Raw genomic sequence first — 25,672 nt, 5'->3', positions numbered from 1 at the left:
AATGTCCTGCAGGGGAGGGTGGGGGCATGATCACTGCATGGTTCTATTCAGACATCTTGCTCTGCCTTGGATTTCAGCTGAGTTTTATTGATCCCTCTATTCCCAAAGCCTGTGTTCAATAAATGAAAGTTCACAGAATAAGGGAATGGTGAATTTATTACAAGAGCTTTAAGGGGTTTCTTTGTTTTCTTCCTTTGCTTTTTAAATAATGCATGAACAGGGCAGATTTTCTTAGGAAACCATTGCCCAAGGGGTGATTCACATGCTTGGTGCAGGAGCCACAGGTCCCTGAGTTGCAGCCTAGACACCCTAGGTTTCTCTCCTTTCTCTGTGTTGACCCTGGGCAGGATCAGGAGATTCAGCTGTCATGAGGTCATTAGGAGCATGCCACAAGGAACCCTGGGACAAGGCTTCAAGGGTCAAGCAACCCTTTCCCATTTTGGAGAGTCAGGAGAGACAGGGTGTTAGCTGCAGCCAAAAGGACAAGACCAACTTTACCACTTTCTTCTTTCAGGAGGAAGAATTCACTGAGTGAATTAGTCCCATTGAGCCTCAGCTTGCTCCTCTGTAAAATGGGACAATAATTCCTTTATAATTGTAGAGTATGGGGAGGAGTACTCTAAGCCAGTGCTCTGGGACTATGGCCTCTTATTTCTTGTCAGTAAGAATTTTTGTATTTTTGCCTGATAGTGCCAGGCGCACAGCCAATACTTTGTTTGTGGTGTAATTTATTTATATTCCTATTTCTCCCACCAAAATCAACTCTTCTCTGGCTTTGAAATCTCAGTGTGTAACACACAGTAATGATTCAGTAAATATTTGTTGGATGAATAAATGAATATGAAAAGAAATATAGAAAGGTCCTGGGAAAGGTGGTGCACACCTGTAATTCCAGCACTTTGGGAGGCTGAGGTGGGAGGATTGCTTGAGCCCATGAGTTCAAGGGCACAGTGAGCTGTGATTGCACCACTGTTCTCCAGCCTGGGTGACAGAGCAAGATCCTGTCTCAGAAGAGACAGCCAGCCAGACACACAAAGGAACACACACACACACACACACACACACACACACACACACACACAGGGAGAGAGAGAGAGAGAGAGAATTACATTAACCACAATACCACCTTCAACAGGACCCATAATATATTTGTGATTTGTTGTGAGGTTTTCAAATCTTATTCAAGTGTTGAATTAATTGCTGGTGCCAAAATTCGGAGTCACTTTAAAAAAGGTAAAAATTCAGCATGTGAAATTTGTTTTTTGACCTAGAGAGAGAGAGGTGTGCTGAGAAGGCCCCAGGGGAGCAGCCCTCAGCAGGAGGGTGGGTGGTGTCTCCTTTTGTCTGAAAAGGCAGGTGTGGTTCTCAAAGGAGAAGCTGTCCACCATCAGGGAATGGTGTGGAGGTAGGAGAAGAGAAGTGATTGCAGCCTGAGCCAATTCTGAGCGAGCTCGTGGGCGTCGGAGTTTGGCCCTGTATGGGAGGCAGGAGGAGTCCCCGGAGGGAGAGCGTTGGCAGTGCCCGTGGTCCATGGGTCTAGAAGCTGCTGCTCGTCATAGTGTGCTGGCTTCGTCACAGGCAGGGTGCTACCCGCTACCAGGCTCACTCTCATGGTGGTTCTGGGGATGATGTGCACTCACTATGTGAGTTGGGGGAGACACTCTCTTACCGGGATCTGGGATTCACTTGCTGAGCTGCTTTTTATTCATCTTTAAAGTTGTTTCAAAATTTGCAGGGAGAGCTTGCCAGGAGGAAACATGGAAAAAAATAAAAATAAAGCAAAAGCTTACTCAGAAGTTAGGTGAGCCACCATGGAATTTACCACATTACCTTAGGTTAATAAATAAACATAAAATTCTTACCAACGTGAAATAAGAGGCCACAGGAGCATGCAGAACATCATGATCTTGCAGAAAGAGATGAGGCTGTCGGCAGATGTTCCAGCCAAGCACTTCCTGCTTTGACATCTCGGTAAAATGCAGGGTTATCTGCAAAGCGGGTCTGAGGGGAATCAGCGTTTCCATTCTTAACATCTCAAATACCAACTGCAAAGAGGAACTTGAGAGTTCTTAATTGCAAAACTATGTCACATAAGAAGGTAGCAATGTAAAAAACCTCCGCATGGTAGAACTTAAAGGAACAGTAGTGAAAAATCTATCCAACCCGCTCATTTTCAGATGAGGAGGCAGAGGCATGGAAAGGCCCCACAGTGACAGAGCCCATTGGTTGCAGAATTGGGATTGCTGTCCCCACTCTGGGCCTCTTTCTGCAACACTGTTGCTTCTCCTGAACAAGTTGAGTAGCAAAATAACAATTTTATGATTTATAAATATATCTAGACATTCCCATAAACCTCCAACTTCATGGGTTCCTAGCTGGGAGTCTCTCTGTAACAAAAGGCAAACTAACAAGAGAAAAACAAACGGAAGTTTAACAATATGTGTATCTCCTGGATACCTGGGTGATGACCCAGAACAATGAGGAATTCTCTAGAGTAGACCCCAAAGAGTTTAAATGTCATGCTTAAATGCCATCTTTGTTTCTTTGAAGCAAAGAAAGAAGGGTGCCTATGCCTGGTGGATCTGGAAAGGCTTTCTAAGTTTTTCCTACGAGGTGCACTTCATAAATTGTGTTGAAATGTGATCACCAGCATTCAGAGGGACGAGGTCCTTCCTGAAAGGATTCAGGTGGACCTGGAACTGTGCCACTGGGAGAGCTCCCCTGAGTGCTTACCTGAGAATGGAAAACTGTCCTGAGAAGCAAAGTACTGTGGACTTGGGACCAAGGAGCAGCCTCGGGCAGTGCAAAGGCACATGCCCTAGGGGAAAGGAGCTGTGCTTGGCCTTGCCTTAGAGAGAGCAGGAGCAGGTTTATCAGCCAGCAGCTGCACTAAAGAAAAGGACAGAGTGGCTCCGGCAAATCTTTCCAGAGTGTGAGGGGACCGGGGGCAGCACTGGGGCGGGGGGTTTGCGGTGGATCTGAAACAGCCATGGTGTCACACGCGAGGGCCCCGCCCGGTCTACTCCCGTATGCTGAGGCCGCCCAGGCATTCAGGTGGCACTGATTGCATCAGACACAGAGCCCAGGAGCCTGACCCAGTCACGAAAGCACAAGGCCAGCCCGGGAGGACAGGAAAGAGCCGAGCACAGAGCTCTGGGCTCTCATGAAGACTGAGAAGCAGCAGTCGGTGAAAAGGCCGTGCTGGGATTCCCAGGGGCATCAGCAAAACAGGGGCGCAAACATTTTAAAACATTTTTAAAAAACTCACCAAAGTTCTGATTTTGCAATGAAAATATGGAAGAAGCCTCTTCCAGCTTCAGCGCACATGCCCTGCTTGTCTATTTTTGTGGCACCACAGCGTCGTCAGTGCTTAGGGCCTCTAAATCCTTACGATGTGGCTGAGAATGAGGCTCGATGAGGGCTCCGGAAAGAGAAGACAAAGAAAGCAAAACCTCATTAGGCTTTTGGACATCCAGGAAAGAATGTGCATTGAATTTTCCTTTTGGTGCCAAGTGAAACTGAAGATGCCCCCATTTTTGCCAAAACTCACCCTCCCGGCGTTTTCACACCAGCCTTCTCTTCTCTAGCCCGGTCTCCCATCCCGAGGACTGAGAAGGCAGGGTTAGGCCCCACCATTTGCCTCATGATCGCGTTTCTGTGGCTCATTCTCCACCAAAATCCATTACTCCTGGTGCATCTTTTCTGGTCTCATGCCTCACAGCTTTAATTCACCTTCATAAAGATTGTTCCAGCTGGGCACAGTGGCTATGCCTGTAACCCCAGCACTTTCGGAGGTCGAATCTATAGGATGGTTTGAGGCCAGGAGTTCAAGACCAGCCTGGGCAACATAGTGATGTTACCGGAAAGGAGTCCCGATCCGGACACCAAGAGAGAGTTCTTCGATCTCCCACAAGAAAGAATTCAGGGCAAGTCCACAGTGCAAAGCAAAAGTAAGTTTATTAAGGAAGTAAAGTGGTGAAAGAATAGCTACTCATAGACAGAGCAGGGCGTTCTCGAAAGTAGGAGGGGAAACACGTCCTCCCTAGGTATATACAGGATAAATCCTGTTTACATATGGGATAAAAAGAAAGATTGTGGGGAGATGTACTCTGCTACAAGGGTTTATGATAAAGGGTTAATTTTCTTAATTACTTTATTTTGCAAGAATTGATGTTATCTTTAAAGCAAAATTAAGAATGCTTCTGTTCTCAAGATACTGGGATATCAGGACACTCCCAAGTCTGGGTCTGTTTAGTAAACATTATCAACCTGTTCCCTTAACGGTAAACACCTAGAGGCTAAGAATACCTAACTTTCTGGGAATGCAGCCCAGCAGGTCCCAGCCTCATTTTTCCTAGCCCTCACTGAAGATGGAGTCGCTCTGGTTTGAACGCCCCTAACAGGGAGACCTAGCTAGAAACCTATGAAGGGTGGAGGAGAAAATTATTTTCACTCCCCTACACAGGCACTCTCATTCTCCTAGTTATCTAGGTTTATGTCAATGGAACATTTTTGAGTCTTTCTTCTCTGGCAAGTTAACATTTTTGTCAGTTATTTGGTCCTGTAAATCTTCCTTTCCCAGTGGCCTCTGAAATCTATATTTTCATTTCTCAAAACAAAATTCCTCTAGAATTCATGTCCTTATGTTATTTTATGTTTGGCAAGTAACGATATCAATTGATACATGTTTTGGGGGATAAATGATGGAAGAAAGTTCGTTTGCAAACCCTCATCAGAGGAGGAGTAACTGGGAGGCAGGGACAATGTGTGAATCATCCCCAGGATGTAGCAGGTCCTCTATACAGTCTGACTGAATGCTAATTAGAAGGAAAAGACAGGAGAAGACACCCACCTGGCCTTTCTTCCAGTCTCTGCTCTTACTAATCTAGCCTATTCAGTGTTCACAGATATTCACATTTCCATGTTCAAAATGTTCAGTCTCCTGTTAAATAAATCCTTTCTGTGTCATCCAAGGATTCACATATTTGACTGCAAGGCAGAAGAGAGGGCGGGGTGTGTGTGTGTGTGTGTGTGTGTGTGTGTGTGTGTGTGTTGGGGGGTGTCTCTGAGTTCGTGTGTGTGTGTGTGTGTGTGTTGGGGGGTGTCTCTGAGTTTGTGTGTGTGAGTGTGTGTGTGTGTGTGTGTGTTGGGGGAGTGTCTCTGAGTTCGTGTGTGTGTGTGTGTGCGCGCGCACATGCGCGTACCTGTGGTGGGTGCTTAGAAGATGAGACTAGACTGTGAGGAGGTGCAGGAGGACAGCAGACAGCCCCGCCATCTCACCATTTCCCCCTTGGTATTCCTCTGGGTCACTGAAGCTTTCTGAATCTTGAGAAGGGTGACTTGATAGATCAGGGAGCATTTCCATGTATTTCCAGGGCAAGTTTGCACCCAGGCGACCTCCTGTATTGGGAATTCCACCCAGTATTTACCTTTGGCGGAAGATCTGCCTTCAGCAACTGCCCAAGGTTTACAAAGTGGGTTGGGACCACTCCCTGGGCCTCTGAGGACACCACCTCCTGTGGGGTTACTGAGTTGAGAGAGCCCAAACAGAAGAGAGGGCTGACCAGGGCCAACCCTTGGAGTGGGCATGGAGCCTTTGTCCAGTGAGCTCTCAGGAAGTGGGCTCTGAAACTGCACAGAGGGAGGAAGAGGAAGCAGCGCTGATTATTATTAGTTTATTTTTGGACAACAACCCTATCAAGCACCCTGACATCATGAAACTGGACAGGGAAGACACCCAGCCCTCTGGTGATCAGACGCCATCCTGGCTGGGGTCCTGGGGCCCCAGCCGGCTCCCTCTAGCTGAGGGTGGGCGGGTGGCCTCGTGCTTCTGCCACTGTGCTTGAAAACATGCAGAGGCAGGCCTGGGGCCCCAGGAGAGGATACTGTGGGCTCCGCACCTATTTCTGTTTTCAATGGCGGAAGGAAAGAGGGAGACAAGTTAGGGTTTTGATATCTAAGACGGGTTCCACTCATTAGCTATTGTAGTCACTTATAATACAGATCAGGAAGGATGCCTTGCCTCCTAGATCAAGCCTTCATTATTTCAGCCCATTTCAGGGAGCCTTTTCCTCCTGTAACCACATCCACACCCGCAAATGCAGCAGGGCTGGCTTTGTCAGTCAGTGAGGTGAATCAGCTGGAGGTGATCTGAATTTTAAAACCATCTGCTCACTGCTGCTGAGCCTGGACTCTCCAGAAGATGGCAGCAGTGGGACACTGTCACCCAGGAGTCAGGCTTTGGCGGGACTAATTCCTCTTACTGGAGCCTGTATTACTTTGCACTACCAGTAAAAATATTCACTGTATGTAGAACAGTAACAACAGGATGAGTCTTTTGTTCAATATGATTGAATCGTATGGTGGAGAAACAGAAAAAAAACACTTTTCCTGTGGTCTCTAATTCAAGTGCTGGGTGTTATGTCCCAATTTCCAGAAAATACATCTTGCATATGCTGTTGGAAATCTTTGCTTCAATAATGAATAAGATCTGCTGCTTGAAAACTTGCTTTTGCTACAAGAGCTGTGAAACTGCAATTTGGGTTTTCTCATGTCTACTGTAGACTCTCAGTAAAGAGGAAAAGTTCTTAATATTTTTTCTCAGAAAGGACACTTGTTTTTTTTGTTGTTGGTGTTGTTGTTTTTTTTTTTTTTTTTTTTTTTTTTTGCAGAGCCTCGCTCTGTCATCCAGGCTGGTGTGTAGTGGCATGATCTCAGCTCACTGAAACCTCGGCCTCCCGAGTTCAAGCAATTCTCCTGCCTCAGCCTCCCAAGTAGCTGGGATTACAGGTGCGCGACACCATGCCCGGCTAATTTTTGTATTTTTAGTAGAGATACGGTTTCACCATGTTGCCCAGGATGGTCTCGAACTCCTGACCTCGTGATCTGCCTGCCTTGGCCTCCCAAAGTGCTGGGATTACAGGCGTGAGTCCCTGCGCCTGGCCAACACTTGTCTTTTTCTTAGACGGGGGAAGCTTTAACTCGGTTGTTTTAGTGATAGTTTAAGAGTTAATTTTACTCCTAGAAAGATGTCATTCAGTAGGATTGCATATGCTCTTCTCATTAATATAAATAGACCGAAGTCTATTTATATTAATGAGAATATATTTCGTATAGTAATTACTATACAAAAATGCAAAGCTTATTAAATAAATGCCTGTATTAGAATGTCTGTATATGTAAATATATATATTTATAGTTTAATATATTGTTTATACTTTAAGAATAAATTATATATACTATAAACATCTGATATATAAATATGGATCACAGATCTCACATAGTTGGAAAGTTCTTTCAACTTAATTTCATTTTATATTAAGACTGCAGACAACTGTTATATTAGAGGTCTGTATCGTAGCCAAGTGATATTTTTAAAAGCAAGCCAGTCTATGGCTGGCTGTTTCTAGCTGGCAAAGCCTGAAGCTAATTCTGAAGCACAGGGCACCTTATGTTAGCAGATTGTCGTGAGTAATGGAAATTGCACTTGGGATGAATGCCAGTTCATCTGGATTACCTGAAATTCCTTAGAGGCCATGGTGGAAAGGATCAGCTGTTCTCTGAGAGTGGGATACACTCTTACTCTCAATAATCCTCTGTCATTTTTACATTTGCTTTGACTCAGCTGCAGAGAATCTAAATCACAGCCCCACCAGCAAAACTACTCTAGGCAGACAGCATCTCCAAATGGCATACAGGAGGGATGACAAAGGGACTAGAAGCTCTCACCAAAGTCACAGTCTGCCTTTCCTCAGTTTCTTGTTTGTAAAATAAGAACTGGAGGGACATGGCATCTACGAGCCCTTTCAGTATTAACATTTCAGTCTTATTCTGGAGGTATTTGGAGAGAATTAATGATGTATCACCACCTCCTTCATTACTTCTGTCTAACTCTGCCAGAAGTAAGGGAAAGCATCCTCTCTTTGTTTCAGCACATTCACACAGGCTGGCTAATGAGATCCCACACTGAAAAAGCCTGGGACTTACACGGACTCTCTGAAATCTAAGTCCTCATTTGTAACATACAGCTTTTTAATACTAGCTTCATAAGTCCCAGATCCCTGCAAAGGTAAATATTTTATTTTCTGTAACTATGTTCAGAGTAGCAGTTCTCTGAATCTGTGTATTGCTCCTGGCAGGAAGCAAATGTCAGCTCATTCCTGTGTAATTGACATGTGACATCTTAGTTTCCAGACTTAGCTAAAGTACTTACTAATAGATTTTAGATGACAGATAGGACCTTTCTTTTCTGTCACCCTTCAGTGGGAAAATCAGAAAGATAGAAAGAACTCTGATGCTTTTTTTTTTTTTTTTTTTGCTGGTCTTATAGTAATTTTGGAAGGAGAAAGATCAAATTTTTGGAAAGAGAATGATCAAAATAATATTAAGAAAAAAATAGTAGTTCTGAAAATATTAAGAAAAAATATATATGGATATATATATATATATATATATATATATACACACACACACACACACACACATGGATGATGTTTTACTTGTCTGTTTAGTGAACACAAGTTTGTTGAATTGATTTGGAAGGTAGTGATTTTTAAATCATATTTATCAAATTTCATTAAACTGAGAATTACATATAAAAGCACCAGATCAATGCATGGGGCACAGTCACTCAGCAAATGTTAATACCATTTTTTACAACATGTACTTGAAGGGTGATTATTTGTAATAATCTCAGGAACATCTAGATTATTTGCATGATAACAGCTCATATGAAGAGATTATGATAAGCAGATTGTTGGCTGGTTTCACTCAGGGTTTTCTTAGACTAGGGTCGGCTGAGACTGAATACCTTTGAAGATGAATCATCCTGTTAGTAAGAAAATGAACTTGGCTCGGGTAGCCCATTGCATCCTTTCTGGTCTGTTTTCCCTTAAGTTCAGGTACAAAATCTCTTCTCTCTAGAAGTAGAATGTGTTTTACCCCTGCAAGGGATGGGCCCACCTGTCTTTGTAGTTGGGAAAACTTGCTAGTGGTTGCTACAGTTTCACAAGAAGCTCTGCACAAACAGAGACTTACCTCCTGGCTTGATAGCTGTGTCTTCTCTTGATAGTTCCCAAACAGTAGAGGCTCAGCCTTTGGGATGGGGCTAACGAGAGAGCAGAGGAGCTCTATTCATTCTCAGGTGCCTGCAGATGTGAACCAGACAGGGAGCAGTGCTGAGCACCAGGATCCTAAGACAGGTGCTCATTGATTATGACAGATGCAAATTCAATAAACATTTGACAAAAGCACAGTATCTTTTTTAAAGAAAAACAAATGCCTTTTCATTTGTAAGATTGCTCTGACAAAGTAAATGTCAGTGTAATGCAAGTTATAGCTTATTCTATTCTCTATCACCATAGTTACTTTTAGTGAGTCATCTTAACTCTTCAGAGCATCAACATTGAAGGGCTTTATTTTCCCATTAACAACCATTAGCTGCACTCTGTTAAACACCACCACTCCATTCTCTCAGAGAGGAATCTTGCTTAATGACATATCAGTCCAATCATATAAACCTTAGTATTTTCAGTTATTAGAACATTCTCATTCTAAAAATAACTACTCCTGTTCATTTTTTTAAAGAAAGACATTCATTTTTTAATTGAGGTGTATATTGAAAACTATAAAACCTTGTTGAAAGAATATAAAGACATAAATAAAGGAAATACATTCATGTTCATGGATTGGAAGACTTCATATTATTAAGATAGTAATACTCCCCAAATTGATCTACAGATTTAACATGGCCTCTGTTAAAATCCAGGCTGCCTTTCTTTTGCAGAACTTGACAAGCTGTTCTAAAATTCATATGGAAATTTATAAAACTAACAATAGCCAAACAATCTTGAAAAAGAAGAATAAAGATGGAGAACATTTACCTCCCAATTTTAAAATATATGTCAAAGCTCCAGAAATCAAGATACTACAGGGTTGACATGAGGATAGACATAGATTAATGGAATTGAATTCAGAGTCTGGAAGTGAAGCCTTACATTTATGATCAGTTGATTTTTGACAAGGTTGCCAACATCAGTCAACGTGGAAAGAATAGTCTTTTCAACAAATGGTAGTGGGACAACTGGATATCCACACACACACACAAAATAAAGTTTGATCTTTATCTCACACCATATACAAAAACCAACTCAAAATGGGTCATAGACCTACATGTAAGAACTAGAAGTCTTAGAAGAAAACTCTTACAAGAAAACTTTTTTGCTTTTTTGTGCCATCTCTAAGAAACCATTGCCTAATTCAAAGTAAAATAATATCTACCTTGAATTAGGCAATGATTTCTTATATATGACACAAAAAAGCACAAACTTCAAAAGAGAAAAACAGATGAATTGGGTTTCATCAAAAGCAAAAATGTTTGTGCTTTAAAGAATACCATCAAAAAAGTGAAAAGATAATAAATAGAATGGTAAAAATATTTGCAAATTATATCTGATAAGAGATTTGTGCCAAAATATATAGACTCTTTTACAACTCAACAATAAAATTTCAGTAGATATTTCTAAAAAAATGTACGAATGAACAATAAATACATGAAAAGATACTCAACATCATTAAGTCATTAAGGAAATCCAAATCAAAATCGTAACGAAGCACCACTTCTCACACACTGGAGTAATTAATATAAAAAAGAGACAATAACAAGTGTTGATGAGAATATGGAGAAACTACAGTCCCTGCACATTGCTAGTGGGATTTTCAAATGGTGCAGCCATTTGTCAATTCCTCAAATAGCTAAACATATAGTTACCATGTAACCCAGCCATTCTACTCCTAGAGCATTGAAAACATGTATCTATACAATAACCTGTATATAAATGTTCATAGCAGCATTGTTCCAGATAGTCAAAAAGTGGAAACAACCCAATTGTTCATCAACTGATGAATGGGTTTTTAAAATGCGGTGTATCTACACAATGGAACATTCTTCAGCATAAGGAGGACTGAAGTACTGATTCTTGCTACGACATGCATAAATCTTGAAAACGTCATGCTAGGTGAAAGAGGCGCGTCACAAAAGGCCTCAACAAAGTGAAGAGAAAACCCACAGAATGGGAGAAAATATTTGCAAACTATCCATCTGATAAGTGATTCATAACCAGACTATGTAAGGAGTTCAAACAACTCTATATGAAAAAAAGTCATAATCTGATTTTTTAAATGGGCAAAAGATCTGAATAAGCATTTCTCAAAAGAGACATACAAATGGCAAATAGGTATACGAAAAGGTACACAACATCACTGATCATCAGAGAAATGCAGGTGAAAACTGCAATGATATATCATCTCACCCCAGTTAAAACGGCTTTTATCCAAAAGACAGGCAGTAACAAATGCTTGCAAGTATGTGGAGTAAAGGGAATCTTCATACACTGTTCGTGGGAATGTAAATTAGTACAGCCACTATGGAGAACAATATGGAGGTTTCTTAAAAAACTAAAAATAGAGCCAACTTATGATCCAGCAATCCCATTGCTGGGTATATACCCAAAAGATTAGTATATTGAAGAAGTACCTGCCCTCCCATGTTTACTGCAGCACTATTCACAGTAGCCAAGATTTGGAAGCAACCTAAGTGTCCATCAACAGACAAAAGGATAAAGAAAATGTGGTATATATACACAATGGAGTGCTATTCAGCCATAAAAAAGAATGAGATTTTGTCATTTGCAAAAACATGGACGGAACTGGAGGTCATTATGTTAAGTGAAATAAGCCAGGCACAGAAAGACAAACTTCACATGTTCTCATTTATTTGTGGGAGCTAAAAATTAAAACAATTGAACTCATGGAGATAGAGAGTAGAATGATGGATAGCAGAGGCTGGGAAGGGTAGTGGAGGGGGGAGTGGTGATTGTTAATCGGTACAAAACTTATAATAAGGTAGAATCAATAAAACCTAGTATTTGACAGCAGAACAGGGTAACTACAGTCAGCAGTAATTTATTGTATATTTAAAAATAACTAAAAGAGTACAATGGGATTGTTTGTAAAACAAAGAAAAGATAAATGCTTGAGGTGATGGATACCCCATTTACTCTGATGTAATTATTATACATTTACTTCTGTATCAAAATATCTTATGTACCCCATACATATATACACCTACTACATACCCACAAAAATAAAAAAATTAAAAACCCAAGCAAACAAACAAAGGCCTCATATTTTGATTCCATTTACAGATGGTCTAGAATAGGCAAATCTATAGAGACAGAAAGTAGATGAGTGATTGCCAGGGCCTGAGGGGCGGGGGAGGAGTGGCAGCTAATGAGTATGGGGTTTCTTTCTGCAGCGACAAAAGGGTTCAGGAATTAGATTGTGATGGTGGTTGCACAACTCTTGGAATAGATTACAAATTACTGAATTGTATACTTTTTGAAAAGAGTGAAGTTTATGGCACAGTATGTGATTATATCTCAATAGAGCTGTTATAAAAATGTATACACCTATGTAATCAATCGATTTGTTCATTTCTAAGCTTCAACCTCATGTTCAATTCCTATCTCTACTCCAATACCCCCACTAGACTTATGTTTTCTCCTTCTACCCTGTTCCATGTTCTTTGCTGTGAGGGGAGGGAGAAGAGAGGGAACAAAAGATGGCTGCCTTCTCCCTTGACTGTCCCTTGCAGTTGGCCGTGTGCTCTTTGATTGGCCATGACTTTTGTTCTAGCTCATTGTCTGTACAGGCTTAATATAGACAGGTAGTGGCCACAAAAGTTTCTACCAAGTAGGAGTTCATCTCTTCCAAAGTTTTCTAAACATTGAGGGTCCTTGAGAAGCTTAGTCACATTTTTGGGTGGTTAACCACTTAGTGGCATCAGCCACTATTCCTCTAATGTATGTGACTCTGGGGTCCTACATATTCCCCAGTCCCTAGTGGGACCCCCTAATCTCATAGCCCCCAGACAGTAACAGGTTGTGAAGATAAGGGAGAGGTCTAAAACACAGTCCCTGCCACCCAGGTGCTTTCAATCTTCTTGAGGAAATTGTATTGGATATTGTTAGTTGCCAACCCAGCATCAATTTCCCAGCCCCCGCTTCCTCGTTCTAAACAGAACCCTGATTTTGTTCCAGTATGCACCCTATTATCAGCCCTAGGGTCGCCCTCATTAGACTAAACCAATCTTTGTGTTCTCACTGCCAGTGATAGATTTAGACAAAACTGTGACTAAATTTGGGCCAATGACACATAAGAAGTGGTTTGCTAGAGGTTCTGGGGACATCCTTCCTCACTCTCCGGGGAGATCTAGTAGTAATTCTCCAGGCAAAAATGAAGACGGTTGTAGCCTGGACTGCAATGGTCTCCCTGGTCCTCCACAGTGTGGATCCAGCTGAAGCTGAAACCCACACTGTGTACAGTAGAGGAGTGAGACAGACAGCGGAGCTGTCAGAGCTGGGACTGAGCAGTTGGGTCAACCAACCACGAATCTCTAGACTTCCCTTTAGTGTAGTCATACATTTCTTTAAACCAGTTTGAGTTGGATTTTCTGAAAATTTCAATCAAAAGCTTAATTAGCAGTGTCCTCACCCATGGAGGCAATTAATTAGGAATGCTGTCTACGGAGTGTAACTTTCTCCTTACTAAGAAAGTTTCCTGTGTTTATCTCAATACCATTCTGACACTAGGGCAGGAACTTTGTTTAGCAACTCTCAGGGGAATGTGTTGCTTCAGCTTCTCTTCCACCTTCTTTAATTTTTAAAAGTTGATCTATAACTGTGCAGGTTGGTGAGTTTTCGCACATGAATAAACTCATTTACCAACCACCCAGGTGAAGGTATAGAAAGTTACCGGCACCCCAAATGGTTCCTTCTTGCCTCTTTCCAGTCAATGCCCCCACCACTGGCAAAGTCGACCACCTGTTCTTTTTCTACCATCACGATTAGCGTTGTCTGTCCTTGATCTTCATATAAAATGGGTCAGTCAGCATGTGCCCTGTCAGGTCCCTTTCCTTTTGTTTATCACAATGTCTGCGAGTCATCCATGCAGCACATTCTTCAGTAGTTTGCTCTTTCTCGTTGCAGTGTAGTGCTCCTTTCTTTAATATTTCCGTATGTATTCATTTTTCTGTTCTTTAGTTGATAGACATTTAGATTTTCTAGTTTGGGGGTATTATGAATAAAGGTGCTGTGAGCATTCTTGTACATGTTTTTCTGTTAAGGCCTCACTTCTGTTGAATATATACCTATGAATGAAAATCTTGGGATGTATGTACATTCCATTTTTGTAGAATGCCAGTTTTCCAAAGTAACCGTTTACATCCCACTGGCAATATATGCAAGTTTCGGTTGTTTCATGTCCTCTCCATCACTTGGTATTGTTAGTCTTAATTTTAGCCATCCTGGTGGGGGTGTAGTAATAGCTCACTGTTTTGTTTTGTTTTTTTCTTTTTCTTTTCTTTTCTTTTCTTTTTTTTTTTTGAGATGGAGTCTCACTCTGTCACCCAAGCCGGAGTGCAGTAGCATGATCTCTGCTCATTGCAACCTCCACCTCCCAGGTTCAAGTGATTCTCCTGCCTCAGCCTCCCGAGTAGCTGGGATTACAGGAACCCGGTACCACACCTGGCTAATTTTTCTATTTTTAGTAGAGACGGGGTTTTGCCATGTTGGCCAGGCTGGTCTTGAACTCCTGACCTCAAGTGACCCACCTGCCTAGCCTCCCAAAGTGCCGGGATTACAGGTGTGAGTGACCGGGCCCGGCCTCATTGTGGTTTTAATTTGTACTGTACAGGTAGTGAATCCTGCTGAACATCTTTTTAAATACTTACTGGCTATTTGGGTATTTTAATTTGTTCATTGTCCATTTGAGTCTTTTTCTCATTTAGTAAAAAATAATAGATAAATTCAAGTTGCACTGGGTGGTGGTGTTTTGTCGGAGTTCTTTGAATATTCAGAATGAGTCCTTTGCCAGACATGGGGATGGCAAATGTCTTCTCCCAGTCCGTGGCTTGCTTTTTTACTTTCAATGTTGTCTTTTATTGAACAAAAGTTCTTAATTTTAATAAAGACCAATTTATCAATCTTTTCTATTATTGCTACTGCTTTTGTGTCCTGTTTTAAAAATGTGGCCTACGCGTGGCTTTTAAAGTATTCTATATTTTTTCTAGAAGTTTATTGTCTTATCTTACACTTTTGAGTCAATGGTCTATCTCAGATTATGTTTTGTGTATGCTGTGAGGTGGAGGTCAAGGTCATTGGATGTCCAATTGAGCCAGTGTCTTACTTTATTGTAAATCAAATGACTCTATGTGTGTCTGTTCCGGATACTCTAATTTGCTTATTATTCTATTTGTTTATCCTTGCGCAAATACCATAGTCTTAATTATTGCTGTAGCTTCACAGTAGATCTTGATATCTAGCAGTGTCAATCTCCAACTCTGTTTTTTTTTCAAGATTGTTTGGCTATTTTAGGTTCTTTGTATTTTTCTTTTATTTTCTTTTCTTTTTTTGAGATGGATTCTTGCTATGCTGCCCAGGCTGGAGTACAGTGGCACCATCTCTGCTCACTGCAACCTCCACCTCCCAGGTTCAAGCGATTCTCCTGCCTCAGCCTCCTGTGTAGCTGGGATTACAGGCACCCACTACCACACCCGGCAAATTTTTGTATTTTTAGTAGAGACGGGGTTTCACCAGGTTGACCAGGCTGGTCTCAAACTCCTGACCTCAGGTGATCTGCCCGCCTCGGCCTTCCAAAATGCTGGGATTACAGGCATGAGCCACTGTGCCCAGCCGGTTCTTTGTATTTTCAGATAAATTTTACATTTGGTTTGTTCATTGAAAATCCTGCTGAGATTTTATTTGGGATTTCATTGAATCTGTAGAAAAATTTGAAAGGAACTGCCATCTTATCATAGTGAGTTTTCCAGTCCATGAACATGGCATATCCCTCCATTTATTTAGGTTAAGATTTCTTGCTACAGTGTTTTGTAACTTTCAATGTAGCAATTTTGCACATCTCTTGTTAGATGCATTCCTAGATACTTGATGAAATGGGGGTTGTTTATGCTGTCAGAAATCATATTTTTTTCTGCACAATCCATTCATTTCTTTATTTTAAAAAATTAAAGAGCTTTATTGATATGTTATATATTGCACTTATTTAAGTGTAAAATTTGATAGGTTTTGACAAATGTATACACCATCAAACCATCACCACAATTAAGATAACAAACATATCGTTTTGAGAGGCCGAGGTGGGCAGATCACCTGAGGTCAGTTCAAGACCAACTTAGCCAACATGATGAAATCCCATCTCTACTAAAAATACAAAAATTAACCAGTCGTGGTGCCGGGCACCTGTAGTCCCAGCCACTCAGGAGGCTGAGGCAGGAGAATCGCTTGAACCCAGGAGGTGGAGGTTGCAGTGAGCTGAGATTACACCACTGCATTCCAGCCTGGGCGACAGAGCGAGACTCTGTCTCAAAATAAATAAACAAACAAACAAACATATCACTTTCAAAAGTTTTCTCCTGCCCCTGTGGTATCCTCCCTTGTGGCTGCTCTCTGCCTGACCTGACCTTCCCACCCTCCAGCAACCACTGATCTCCTTTCTAACATTATAGATTAGTTTGAACTTTTCTAGAATTTTTATGTATTCTCTTCCTTGGCTTGGTTTTTTTTCCCACTCAGCATAATTATTCTAAGATTTCTCTGTGTTTTTGTACATATCACTAGTTCAGTCTTTTCATAGCCTGGTAGTGTTCTATTGTATAACTATATCACAATTTGTTTAGCCTTTCGATGGGCCCTTGGGTTGTTTTCAGTTTCGGGATATTACAAATGAAGCTGCTGTGAACATTTGTACAAGTCTTTGTATAAACATATGGTTTTTTTTCTCTTGGGTAAAATACTAAGAGCAAAATACCTGGATCTTCTGGTAGGTATAGGTTTAACTTTTTAAGAAAGTGCTAAACTATTTTCCAAGAGGATTGTATTGATATTGGTTTTTAAATTTTATATTTAAATTGGTTTGTGTGAGTATGTAGAAATACAATTGATTTCCAGTATATTGACCTTGAATCCAGTGACCTACTAAGTTTACTCATCCTTTCAATTTATTAATAGATTCTTTGGGCTTTTCTATGTATGCACTCATGTCATTTATGAATAATGACAGCTTACTTTTTCTTTCCTATCTTTATGCTTTAATTTGTCTTTCTTGCCTATTGTACTGGTTAGGTTTTTTAGTCCAATGTTGAATAGAAATGTTGATCATGGGTTTTCTTTTCTTGTTCCTTGACAGGGAACACATTCAATATTTCACCATTAGAACAACATGATGTTATTCTAGATGTTTTATAAATATACTTTATTCCTAGTTTACTGAGCTTATCTATTCCTAGTTTACTGAGCTTTTGCATTTTATGACTAGACCTCAAATTTTATAAAAGTTTTTTAATATTACCGAGATGACCATTGGGTTTTCTCTTTTATTCGATTAATATGATAAATTACATTGATTGATTTTTAAATGTTAACTAACTTTGCATTTCTGGAATAAACCCCAGTAATGTTTCATGTTGACAGCATTCCTAGGAAAAGAAGGTTTCCACATAAAAAAACTTTATTATCATCTTTTTTTTTTTTTTTTTGAGATAGAGTTTTGCTCTTGTTGCCCAGGCTGGAGTGCAATGGTGCGATCTCGGCTGACTGCAACCTCCGCCTCTCGGGTTCAAGCGATTCTCCTGCCTCAGCCTCCCAAGTAGCTGGGATTTCAGGTGCGCACCACTGCACCTGGCTCATTTTTTTTTATTTTTAGTAGAGACAGGGTTTCACCATGGCCAGGCTGGTCTTGAACTTCTGACCTCAGGTGATCTGGCTGCCTCGACCTTCTAGAGTGCTGGGATTACAGGCGTGAGCCACCGCGCCCGGCCAAGAAAGTTTATTATCGTCTCAAGGAGAAAACTCTTCTTTAAAACTTTTCTTTGGGGAAGGATATGTCTACATGGTTCTGCCTGCTTACATGCCTTTTTAGTGACAATAAACTGAGGACAATCCTGCTTTCTCCTGTGGACTCACAGTTACCATTGTCACTGACATTTGTTCCATTTTTGTATATATATATTTTTTGGTAGAGACAGGGTTTCGCCATGTTGGCCAGGCTGATCTCGAACTCCTGGGCTCAAGGGATCTGCCTGCCTCAGCCTCTCAAAGTGCTAGGATTATTGGCGTGAGCCATCTCGCCTGGCCTGCTGATGCTATTATTGTTGAGTACTTATGTTGCTTTTTTCCTGTTTCTTGATATTTGAGTACCAAGTATTACTTCTTGCTGCTTTTAGTGCATTTATTTCTGTTCTCTCTCAATTTGATTTTCTAGTAAGAAGGAAATAACTATCCGTGTTAGATTTATATATATTAACATATATATATACACATTTAAATTTATATAAAATAAGAGTAGCTTGTTTGTGAGTGAGGGCATTTTGGATGTTCCAGGAAGAAGAAAATGTGTGCTCTTTGTATTACTAATTGCGGCTGGCTAAAGGCCCTGTTTGCGTATATGTTTTCCATTCTGTATTAGGTAGTTGATGCAGCGGACTGAATCTTTATGTTCCCTAGAAGCTCCTATGCTGAGTCCTAACCCCCAATACGATGATAAGAGGTGGCGTCTTTGGGTAGTCATCAGGTCATGAGAGTGAAATCCTCGGGGAAAAGATTAATACCCTTATAGAAGAGGCCCAGTAGGGCTGATTCCTCCTATGTGGGGATACAGCGAAAAGACAGACTCTATGAACCAGAAAGCAGATCCTTACCAGGCACCAGATACTGAATCTGCTGGCACCTTGATCTTGGACTTCCCGATCTCTAGAACAGTGAGAAATAAATTTCTGTTGTTTACAAGCCACGCAGTTTATGGTATTTTGTTATAACAGCCTGAAGGGACTAAAAGAGTTGAGATTGCTGGATAAGTAAATATTATGATATTTTAATGTATCACTGATCAGGCAGTTGGACTTAATTCAAGTTTGAATAATTGACTGTAATAACATTCAAGTCAAATACAGTAATGTACATATTTTATATAAAACATTGTAATTTTATGTAAAATAAAATATACCTAGGCTGGGTGTGATGATTCACACCTGTAATCCTAGTGCTTTGGGAGGCTTGAGGCAGAAGGATTGCTTAAGGCCAGGAGTTCAAGAACAGCCTAGGCAACATAGCAAGGCTCCTGTCTCTACAAACTAACTAAATAAAATAAATTAGCCAGGCATGGTGGTGTGTGCTTTTACTCCTAGCTACTTGGGAGGCTGAGGTGGGAAGATTGCTTGAGCCTAGGAATTCAAGACTACAGTGAGCTATGATCCCACCTCTGTACTCCAATATGGAAGACAAAACAAGACCGTATCTCTCTCTCTCTCTCTCTCTATATATATATATATGTGTGTGTGTATACGTATATATATACACACACACACACACACACACATGCACACTCCCTCTGTCCTGTGGCTCCTCTCTCAAGGAATTGCAATGTTCTTCACCCAGTGGATGGGGAAAGTGACATTGGAGAGCCCATCAGTTTCTTAACTGCCTTGCCTTGAAAGACATGCATCACTCCCACTAACATCCCCTGGGTAAGGGCTAGTGACATGCCCTGTCCTGATGCAGAAAGGAGCTGGGACACACAGCCTCTAAACAAGCAGCTGCTTCTCAGAGGCAACACTACTCCATGGAACGCATTGTCAAATCTGGTGAAACATCTGCCTTTAGTCAAATTCCCTTGGCCTCGGACTCCTCTTCTCTTCTTGACTATCCTCAAAATCCCACTCATCTTTGAAAGCTCGGCTCACAAGCCATCTTATGCACAAGGTCTTCCCAGATCTCTCTGCTGGGTACATTGTGCTTCCCCCTATACTTTGCTCATCCCTCCATATGGCCAGGAGCTACTTGTGGACGTGTGTGTCGTCCAGGATAGGGGGCACTTCTCAAGAGTGTGGACTGGAGATCATTTCTTTCTGTTTGTCCCACATCATCTAGAATAGCATTGCACACTCACACCAATATTCCCTCAGCTATTCTGAGAAGTGTTATGAGAATTTAAGCACTTGATTGTTAAGTATATGAAATTCCTCAGGACATATGATGTTGACCAATCAACAAGCATTTAATTGTCTGTTATGCAAACCCAGTTTCTGTATTTAGGAAGCTTATAATCTAATTTGGCAGGAAGTCAATAGAAGGTTAAATTGTAAGATTGCTGGCCAGGCATGGTGGCTCACGCCTGTAATCCCAGCACTTTGGGAGGCCAAGGCGGGCAGGTCACAAGGTCAGGAGTTCAAGACCATCCTGGCTAACACGGTGCAAACCCATCTCTACTAAAAATACAAAAAAAAAAAAAAATTAGCCAGGTGTAGTGGCAGGCGCCTGTAGTCCTAGCTACTTGGGAGGCTGAGACAGGAGAATGGCTTGAGCCCAGGAGGTGGAGCTTGCAGAGAGACGAGATCACGCCACCACAGGGAGAGACTCCGTCTCAAAAAAAAAAAAAAAAAAAAAAAACAGAAAGATTGCTAAACCGAGAATAACCCATTTTTAAAAATAAGGCCGGGCGTGGTGGCTCACACCTGTAATCCCAGCACTTTGGAAGGCAAAGGTGGGTGGATCCCTTGAGCTCAGGAGTTTGAAACCAGCCTGGGCAACATGGCAAACACTGTCTCTACAAAAAATACAAAAAATTAGCCTGGTGTGTTGACGCACGCCTGTAGTCCCAGCTACTTGTGAAGCTGAGGTGGGAGAATTGCTTGAGCCCAGGAGGCAGAGATTGCAGTGAGCCAACATCGCACCTCTGCACTCCAGTGTGGGTGACAGTGAGACCTGTCTCTAAATAAAGTAAATAAAACAAAAAAGAAGAAGACACTATTTAAACTATTGGGGTACTTATGACAAGACCTTCAGCAAACTTGTATTTAACAACCTGGAAACTGGCAACATCTGAGGACTGAAGCCCTGCTGTATGGACCACGTATACATCAGACATTGTCAGTGAGTAAATAATATACCTCAAAACATCTTTATATTTTTTTCAAATATGAACATTCTAATTTTATGAGTTATGAAAATCATTTAACTTTAACCATAAGGGATTTCTCCATAATTTACCTACAGGCCCCCAAAATGGGGATGAATAAACAGCATGTATTTTTTATATATATATAATATATGTATATATATATACATATGTGTGTGTGTGTATAACATACATGTGTGTATATTATATATATGCACACACATTATTTATATGTTTGTGTGTATGTGTGTGTATAGCTATACCCACATTACATAGTGACCATCTCTCTATAATACATAGTTTATTGCAAAGTAATATGGTATAATTATATTTCTATGTAGTGCAATGTCACAGCCTCTACTCATCTTAAAGGAGAATGCTCAAATGGGCTGTCCTTTTATACAATTCACTAGGTGTAACATTAATTATAAATATTTATATTAATTAATATTACCAATAAAGGAGCTACAAGTAGTGATAAATTATATTGGGAGGAGGAGGAGGGATGGTGGGAAGAGGTAGATGAAACATATCCTTATTTGTTACAGCAGGAAGTCAATAGTTAAATTACAAAATTGATAAACCAAGAAATAACTATGTACAATTATTATTGAAGAAAATCAACTACCAGAAACACTAAAACCAAATGATTAAAAGTGATTATCTCTGTGATCAGAACCATGTTTAGCCTCCTGTTCAATTAGATTTTTAAAACTATGTATTTATTTTTTATTTAAAAATAATGCAGTATAAATTAATAATTGTCTTACAATTTTGAACAAATGTTACTGAATTTATAATTACTATTTTGTCATTGCATATTTTCATTTATGAATATTAAAAATAAACACTATTATGTAAAGACCTAAAATTTTGGTGAAAAAGTGATTTTCATATTTGAAATATAGTGGGAGATAGAATAATAGAAAATGTAAAGAAAGACTATTAGTAAAATTGATGATTTTTCTTTTTTTCACTGTTTAAGAAATTTTTATTAAAGCAAGAATTTTATAATCCAAACCATGTTTCCTTGCTCAGTTATCAATTCTGTTACTTAAAACAGAATGGACATTTTGAGCTATTCCACAGTAAAGAATTAAAAAATTAAAGGAATGCTTTAAATTTTTGTACTTTGCTGAAAATTCTTTTCCCAGGGTCTACAAAACATTAACTGGTTTTTGTATTTTACGATTTTTTGTTTTTAAATCAAAATTAAGTAATCTTTTTTTTGTTTTTAAATCAATAAGTAATCTAGGACTAGCATTATATTTGCTAGACCTTGCATTTGCTCGGTACATAAGGTTCAAAGTTTCCTTTCCATTTTTTATTTTAGATTTTGCATTTTTTATTTTAGATTTTGCAATTTTTTTTCCCATAGTTTCTCGATGTTTAGATATTTTTCTTCGGTGAAGCACAAATTTCTTTTCGTGGTCTCTGATCAATTTTAAACAGTTGGAACACCGGTAGCACTGTTAACTGCTTTCTGGGTAGCCTCTTTAGCTTGGTGGGCTTGTAGTACAGCTACAGCTTCATCAACCTTAGAACGGAGTGACTCTGGAGACTCGAGCATATAAAGAAGTTCTGAATTATCAATCTCCAACAACATGCCAGTGATTTTCCCAGCAAGAGTAGGGTGCATGGCTTGAATAAGAGGAAAGAGCCGTTCACCTAACATTTGCTTTTGCTTTTGAGGAGGGGCAGATGCCAACCTGGAGGCAGTCAAAGTTTCCTGACCTTGTACATGAACAGCAAGCTGTTGCATTGTAACTTGTGGCTGTGCATTACGATGTTGCTGAGGATTGCGAACTCCCGCAGCATATTTATACCGTGGAACCGTGCGCACAGCAGGGGTAGCTGCAGCAGCAGCAGCAGCTGCAGGACGTGGACCCACTGTCTGTGTTGATGTGTTAGCAACACGCTGCGTTGACATGACTCGTGGAACCTGTGAAGAAGCTGGTCTCATAGTACTAAATGGTACTCTAGGAGCACCTGGGCGGATAGCACTGGGCTTATTTTGGAATGGATGAGGTCTGGCACCCTGAGCAGTCCAGCGAGGACTTGGTCTTAGTCGAGCAATTTGGCTAGGAGGATAGTATGCAGCATGGTTCTGAGTCTGTGGGACAGCTGTCATGAAGTAACCTGAAGGAGGTGCTCGCTGGTTGGGCACAGCTCGTACACTTGCCATTCTCTGCATATACTCGTTAGTGAGGTAAGCCTGGCGCTCTTCTTTGCGCTGAGCTAAAGCTACATACAATGGCTTTGTGGCCACAATTCTACCGTTCATTTCTGTAACTGCTTTAGTGGCTTCTTCTGGGGAGGAGAAACATACAAAACCAAACCCTTTGCTGCGACCACCTTCCATCATAACCTTTGCACTAGTGATTGTACCAAATGGAGAAAACGCTTTCCGGAGACGTTCATCATCAATACCATCATCAAGATTTTTCACATAAAGATTAACAACCTGGTATCTGGTGATCCTATCTTGCTTCATCTGTTCAAATGTGCGCTTAAGTTCCGTCTGCCGTTCCACTTTTTTCTGAGCTCGACCAACGTAAATTTGTTTTCCATTGAGCTCCTTTCCATTCATCTCATCTACAGCTTTCTGTGCATCTTCATGCCTTTCAAAGCTTACAAATCCAAATCCTTTGGATTTTCCACTTTCATCGGTCATTACTTTCACACTTAAGGCGGGCCCGAACTTGCCAAAGAGATCCTTAAGGCGCTCATCATCCATGTCTTCTCCAAAATTCTTGATGTAAACATTGGGGAACTCTTTTGCCCTAGCTCCAAGTTCAGCTTCTCGTTCTTTACGAGACTTAAATTGTCCAACAAATACTTTGCGACCATTTAGGAGCATTCCGTTCATTTTTTTAATAGCTCTTTCAGCTGCTTCGTGTGTCTCAAAGTGTACAAATCCATAACCCTTGGAACCATTTTCATCACAAACCACGTTACACGAAAGGATGTTACCAAAAGCAGAAACTGTATCATACAGTGCTTTATTATTAATGGACTTATCCAGATTTTTAACGAATATGTTGCCCACTCCACTTTTTCGAAGTGATGGATCACGCTGAGACCACATGATGCGTACTGGCTTGCCCTTTATAACATCAAAATTCATGGTGTCCAGAGCATGCTCCGCGTCCTTCGTATGCTGGAAGTTCACATACGCGTAGTTGGAGGAGCCGCTGGTGATCAAGTCCCTGCAGATCCGGATGGAGAGGATGGGCCCTGCCGGGCTGAACTTCTCGTAGAGCATCGCCTCAGTCACGTCGGGGTGGAGGTCCCCCACGTAGAGCGAGGCCGTTGGGTAGCTGGGGGTGCTGGGGTTCATTCTCGGCACGGCTGCCCGCAGGCACACAAGCCGCGACCTTTCCGTTACAGGAGTAGAGCGCGTGCCGGGGCCGGGGGCGTAGCCGGAGGGAGGGGAGCGGGGGCAAGCGCAGAGGGACAAAAATCAGCCGAAATCGAAAACTACTCAACGGCCGCAGAACGGGGTCGATCCGCTGCCGCTGGCTGCCGGCTGCCGGCGGGGAGCCAGGGTAGCGGTGTCGGGTCCGGGCAGCAGGAAGGCCTTGGTCTCTTAGTTCCTTCTTGGAGCTGCTGCGGGGCCGCTGGCGGGCGGCTCGGGCTCAGCTGCTTCACCGGGTTATTTTGTAAAAGAGCATTAATGATTTTTCTAAAATGATTTTTATAATCCAAATTTAAAATGCCTGGGAAAAAAATAAATGAAAGAATTTTTTTCTCCTTTCTCCTTTAGTATGTTTTTATATATGTTCTACTTTACACAAATATATTTTTATAAAATATTTTCTACTTTTTACCTCGTCTCTACTAAAATTACAAAAAATTAGCTGGGCTTGATGTGCTCACCTGTAATCCCAGCTACTCGGGAGGCCTAGGCACGAGAATCGCTTGAACCCGGGAGGTGGAGGTTGCAGTGAGCAGAGATCGCGCCACTGCCCTCTAGTCTGGGTGACAGAGCGAGACTATCTCAAACAAACAAACAAACAAACAAAAAACCCCGAAAAACCGACTTTTTATATTATATAACAATATAAAACATAATAAATATGTAATTTTATTTTTCATTTATTTATTTTTATTTTACTTATTTATTTTTGAGACGGAGTTTTGCTCTGTCACCCAGGCTGGAGTGCAGTGGTGCGATCTCGGCTCACTGCAACCTCCACCTCCCAGGTTCAAGCGATTCTCCTGCCTCAGCTTCTAAAGTAGCTGGGATTACAGGCACCCACCACCAAGCCTGGCTAATTTTTTGTATTTTTAGTAGAGACGGGGTTTCACCATCTTGGCCAGGCTGATCTTGAACTCCTGACCTCGTGATCCACCCACCTCGGCCTCCCAAAGTGCTGGGATTACAGGCGTAAGCCACCGTGCCCGACCAATAAATATGTAATGTTAATATAGTATTATATGATATAGTCTTTTGAGGTCAGGTTGGGATTCATTATTAAGTATACGTTTTATGATTATAAGTACACAATCTTGTGACCTAATATAGCTACACATCTAAGTAAGTGATGATCTGAAATAATTCTATTTAAGAAAATCCTTTAAGAAAGGTCCAGTCCCACAAAAAATATCAGTTTGGGGGAGGATCTGTTCATTCTGTTCATGT

At 41.1% G+C, this 25,672-nt stretch overlaps 1 protein-coding gene and 2 long non-coding RNA genes across 7 annotated transcripts, besides 1 other annotated feature; all 3 read right to left on the bottom strand.

The window, feature by feature from the left end:
* Positions 1 to 1,130: 1,130 nt before the first annotated feature.
* On the bottom strand, positions 1,131 to 3,347 carry LOC105370120 (uncharacterized). Of its 4 annotated transcripts, none has more exons than XR_007063728.1 (3): positions 3,269 to 3,347; positions 1,863 to 1,988; positions 1,131 to 1,741 (listed from the first exon to the last, which is right to left on the bottom strand). It is a non-coding gene; the product is annotated as an uncharacterized LOC105370120 (long non-coding RNA). The 4 variants fall into 4 exon arrangements; XR_007063726.1 differs by having other exon boundaries at positions 1,863 to 2,001; positions 3,269 to 3,340; XR_007063727.1 differs by lacking the exon at positions 3,269 to 3,347 and having other exon boundaries at positions 1,131 to 1,785; positions 1,863 to 2,908.
* On the bottom strand, positions 3,339 to 24,946 carry LOC124900613 (uncharacterized). Of its 2 annotated transcripts, none has more exons than XR_941762.3 (3): positions 24,907 to 24,946; positions 9,037 to 9,146; positions 3,339 to 3,421 (listed from the first exon to the last, which is right to left on the bottom strand). It is a non-coding gene; the product is annotated as an uncharacterized LOC124900613 (long non-coding RNA). The 2 variants fall into 2 exon arrangements; XR_007063729.1 differs by lacking the exon at positions 3,339 to 3,421 and adding an exon at positions 5,487 to 5,631.
* On the bottom strand, positions 21,312 to 24,430 carry PABPC3 (poly(A) binding protein cytoplasmic 3). Its single transcript, NM_030979.3, has one exon. The coding sequence runs from the start codon at positions 24,365 to 24,367 to the stop codon at positions 22,472 to 22,474; it is 1,896 nt and encodes a 631-aa protein (NP_112241.2). The 5' UTR covers positions 24,368 to 24,430; the 3' UTR covers positions 21,312 to 22,471.
* Positions 24,221 to 24,515: a silencer, noted in NCBI's record as "tiled region #9769; K562 Repressive non-DNase unmatched - State 21:Repr". NCBI's record gives its function as "represses a minimal TATA promoter and a strong SV40 promoter by Sharpr-MPRA in K562 cells {active_cell/tissue: K562}" and the evidence as "EXISTENCE:reporter gene assay evidence [ECO:0000049][PMID:27701403]".
* Positions 24,947 to 25,672: the final 726 nt, after the last annotated feature.

This window comes from Homo sapiens, chromosome 13, assembly GCF_000001405.40.
Source record: "Homo sapiens chromosome 13, GRCh38.p14 Primary Assembly".
In the NCBI taxonomy this organism is placed as follows: Eukaryota; Metazoa; Chordata; class Mammalia; order Primates; family Hominidae; genus Homo; species Homo sapiens.
Note: the sequence above shows the minus strand (reverse complement) of the source record. Positions and strands in the feature narration are given on the sequence as shown.

What these genes read in the sequence shown, in the direction of transcription:
- PABPC3 (NM_030979.3), bottom strand. Translation starts at nt 24,367, where the DNA reads ATGAACCCCAGCACCCCCAGCTACCCAACGGCCTCGCTCTACGTGGGG.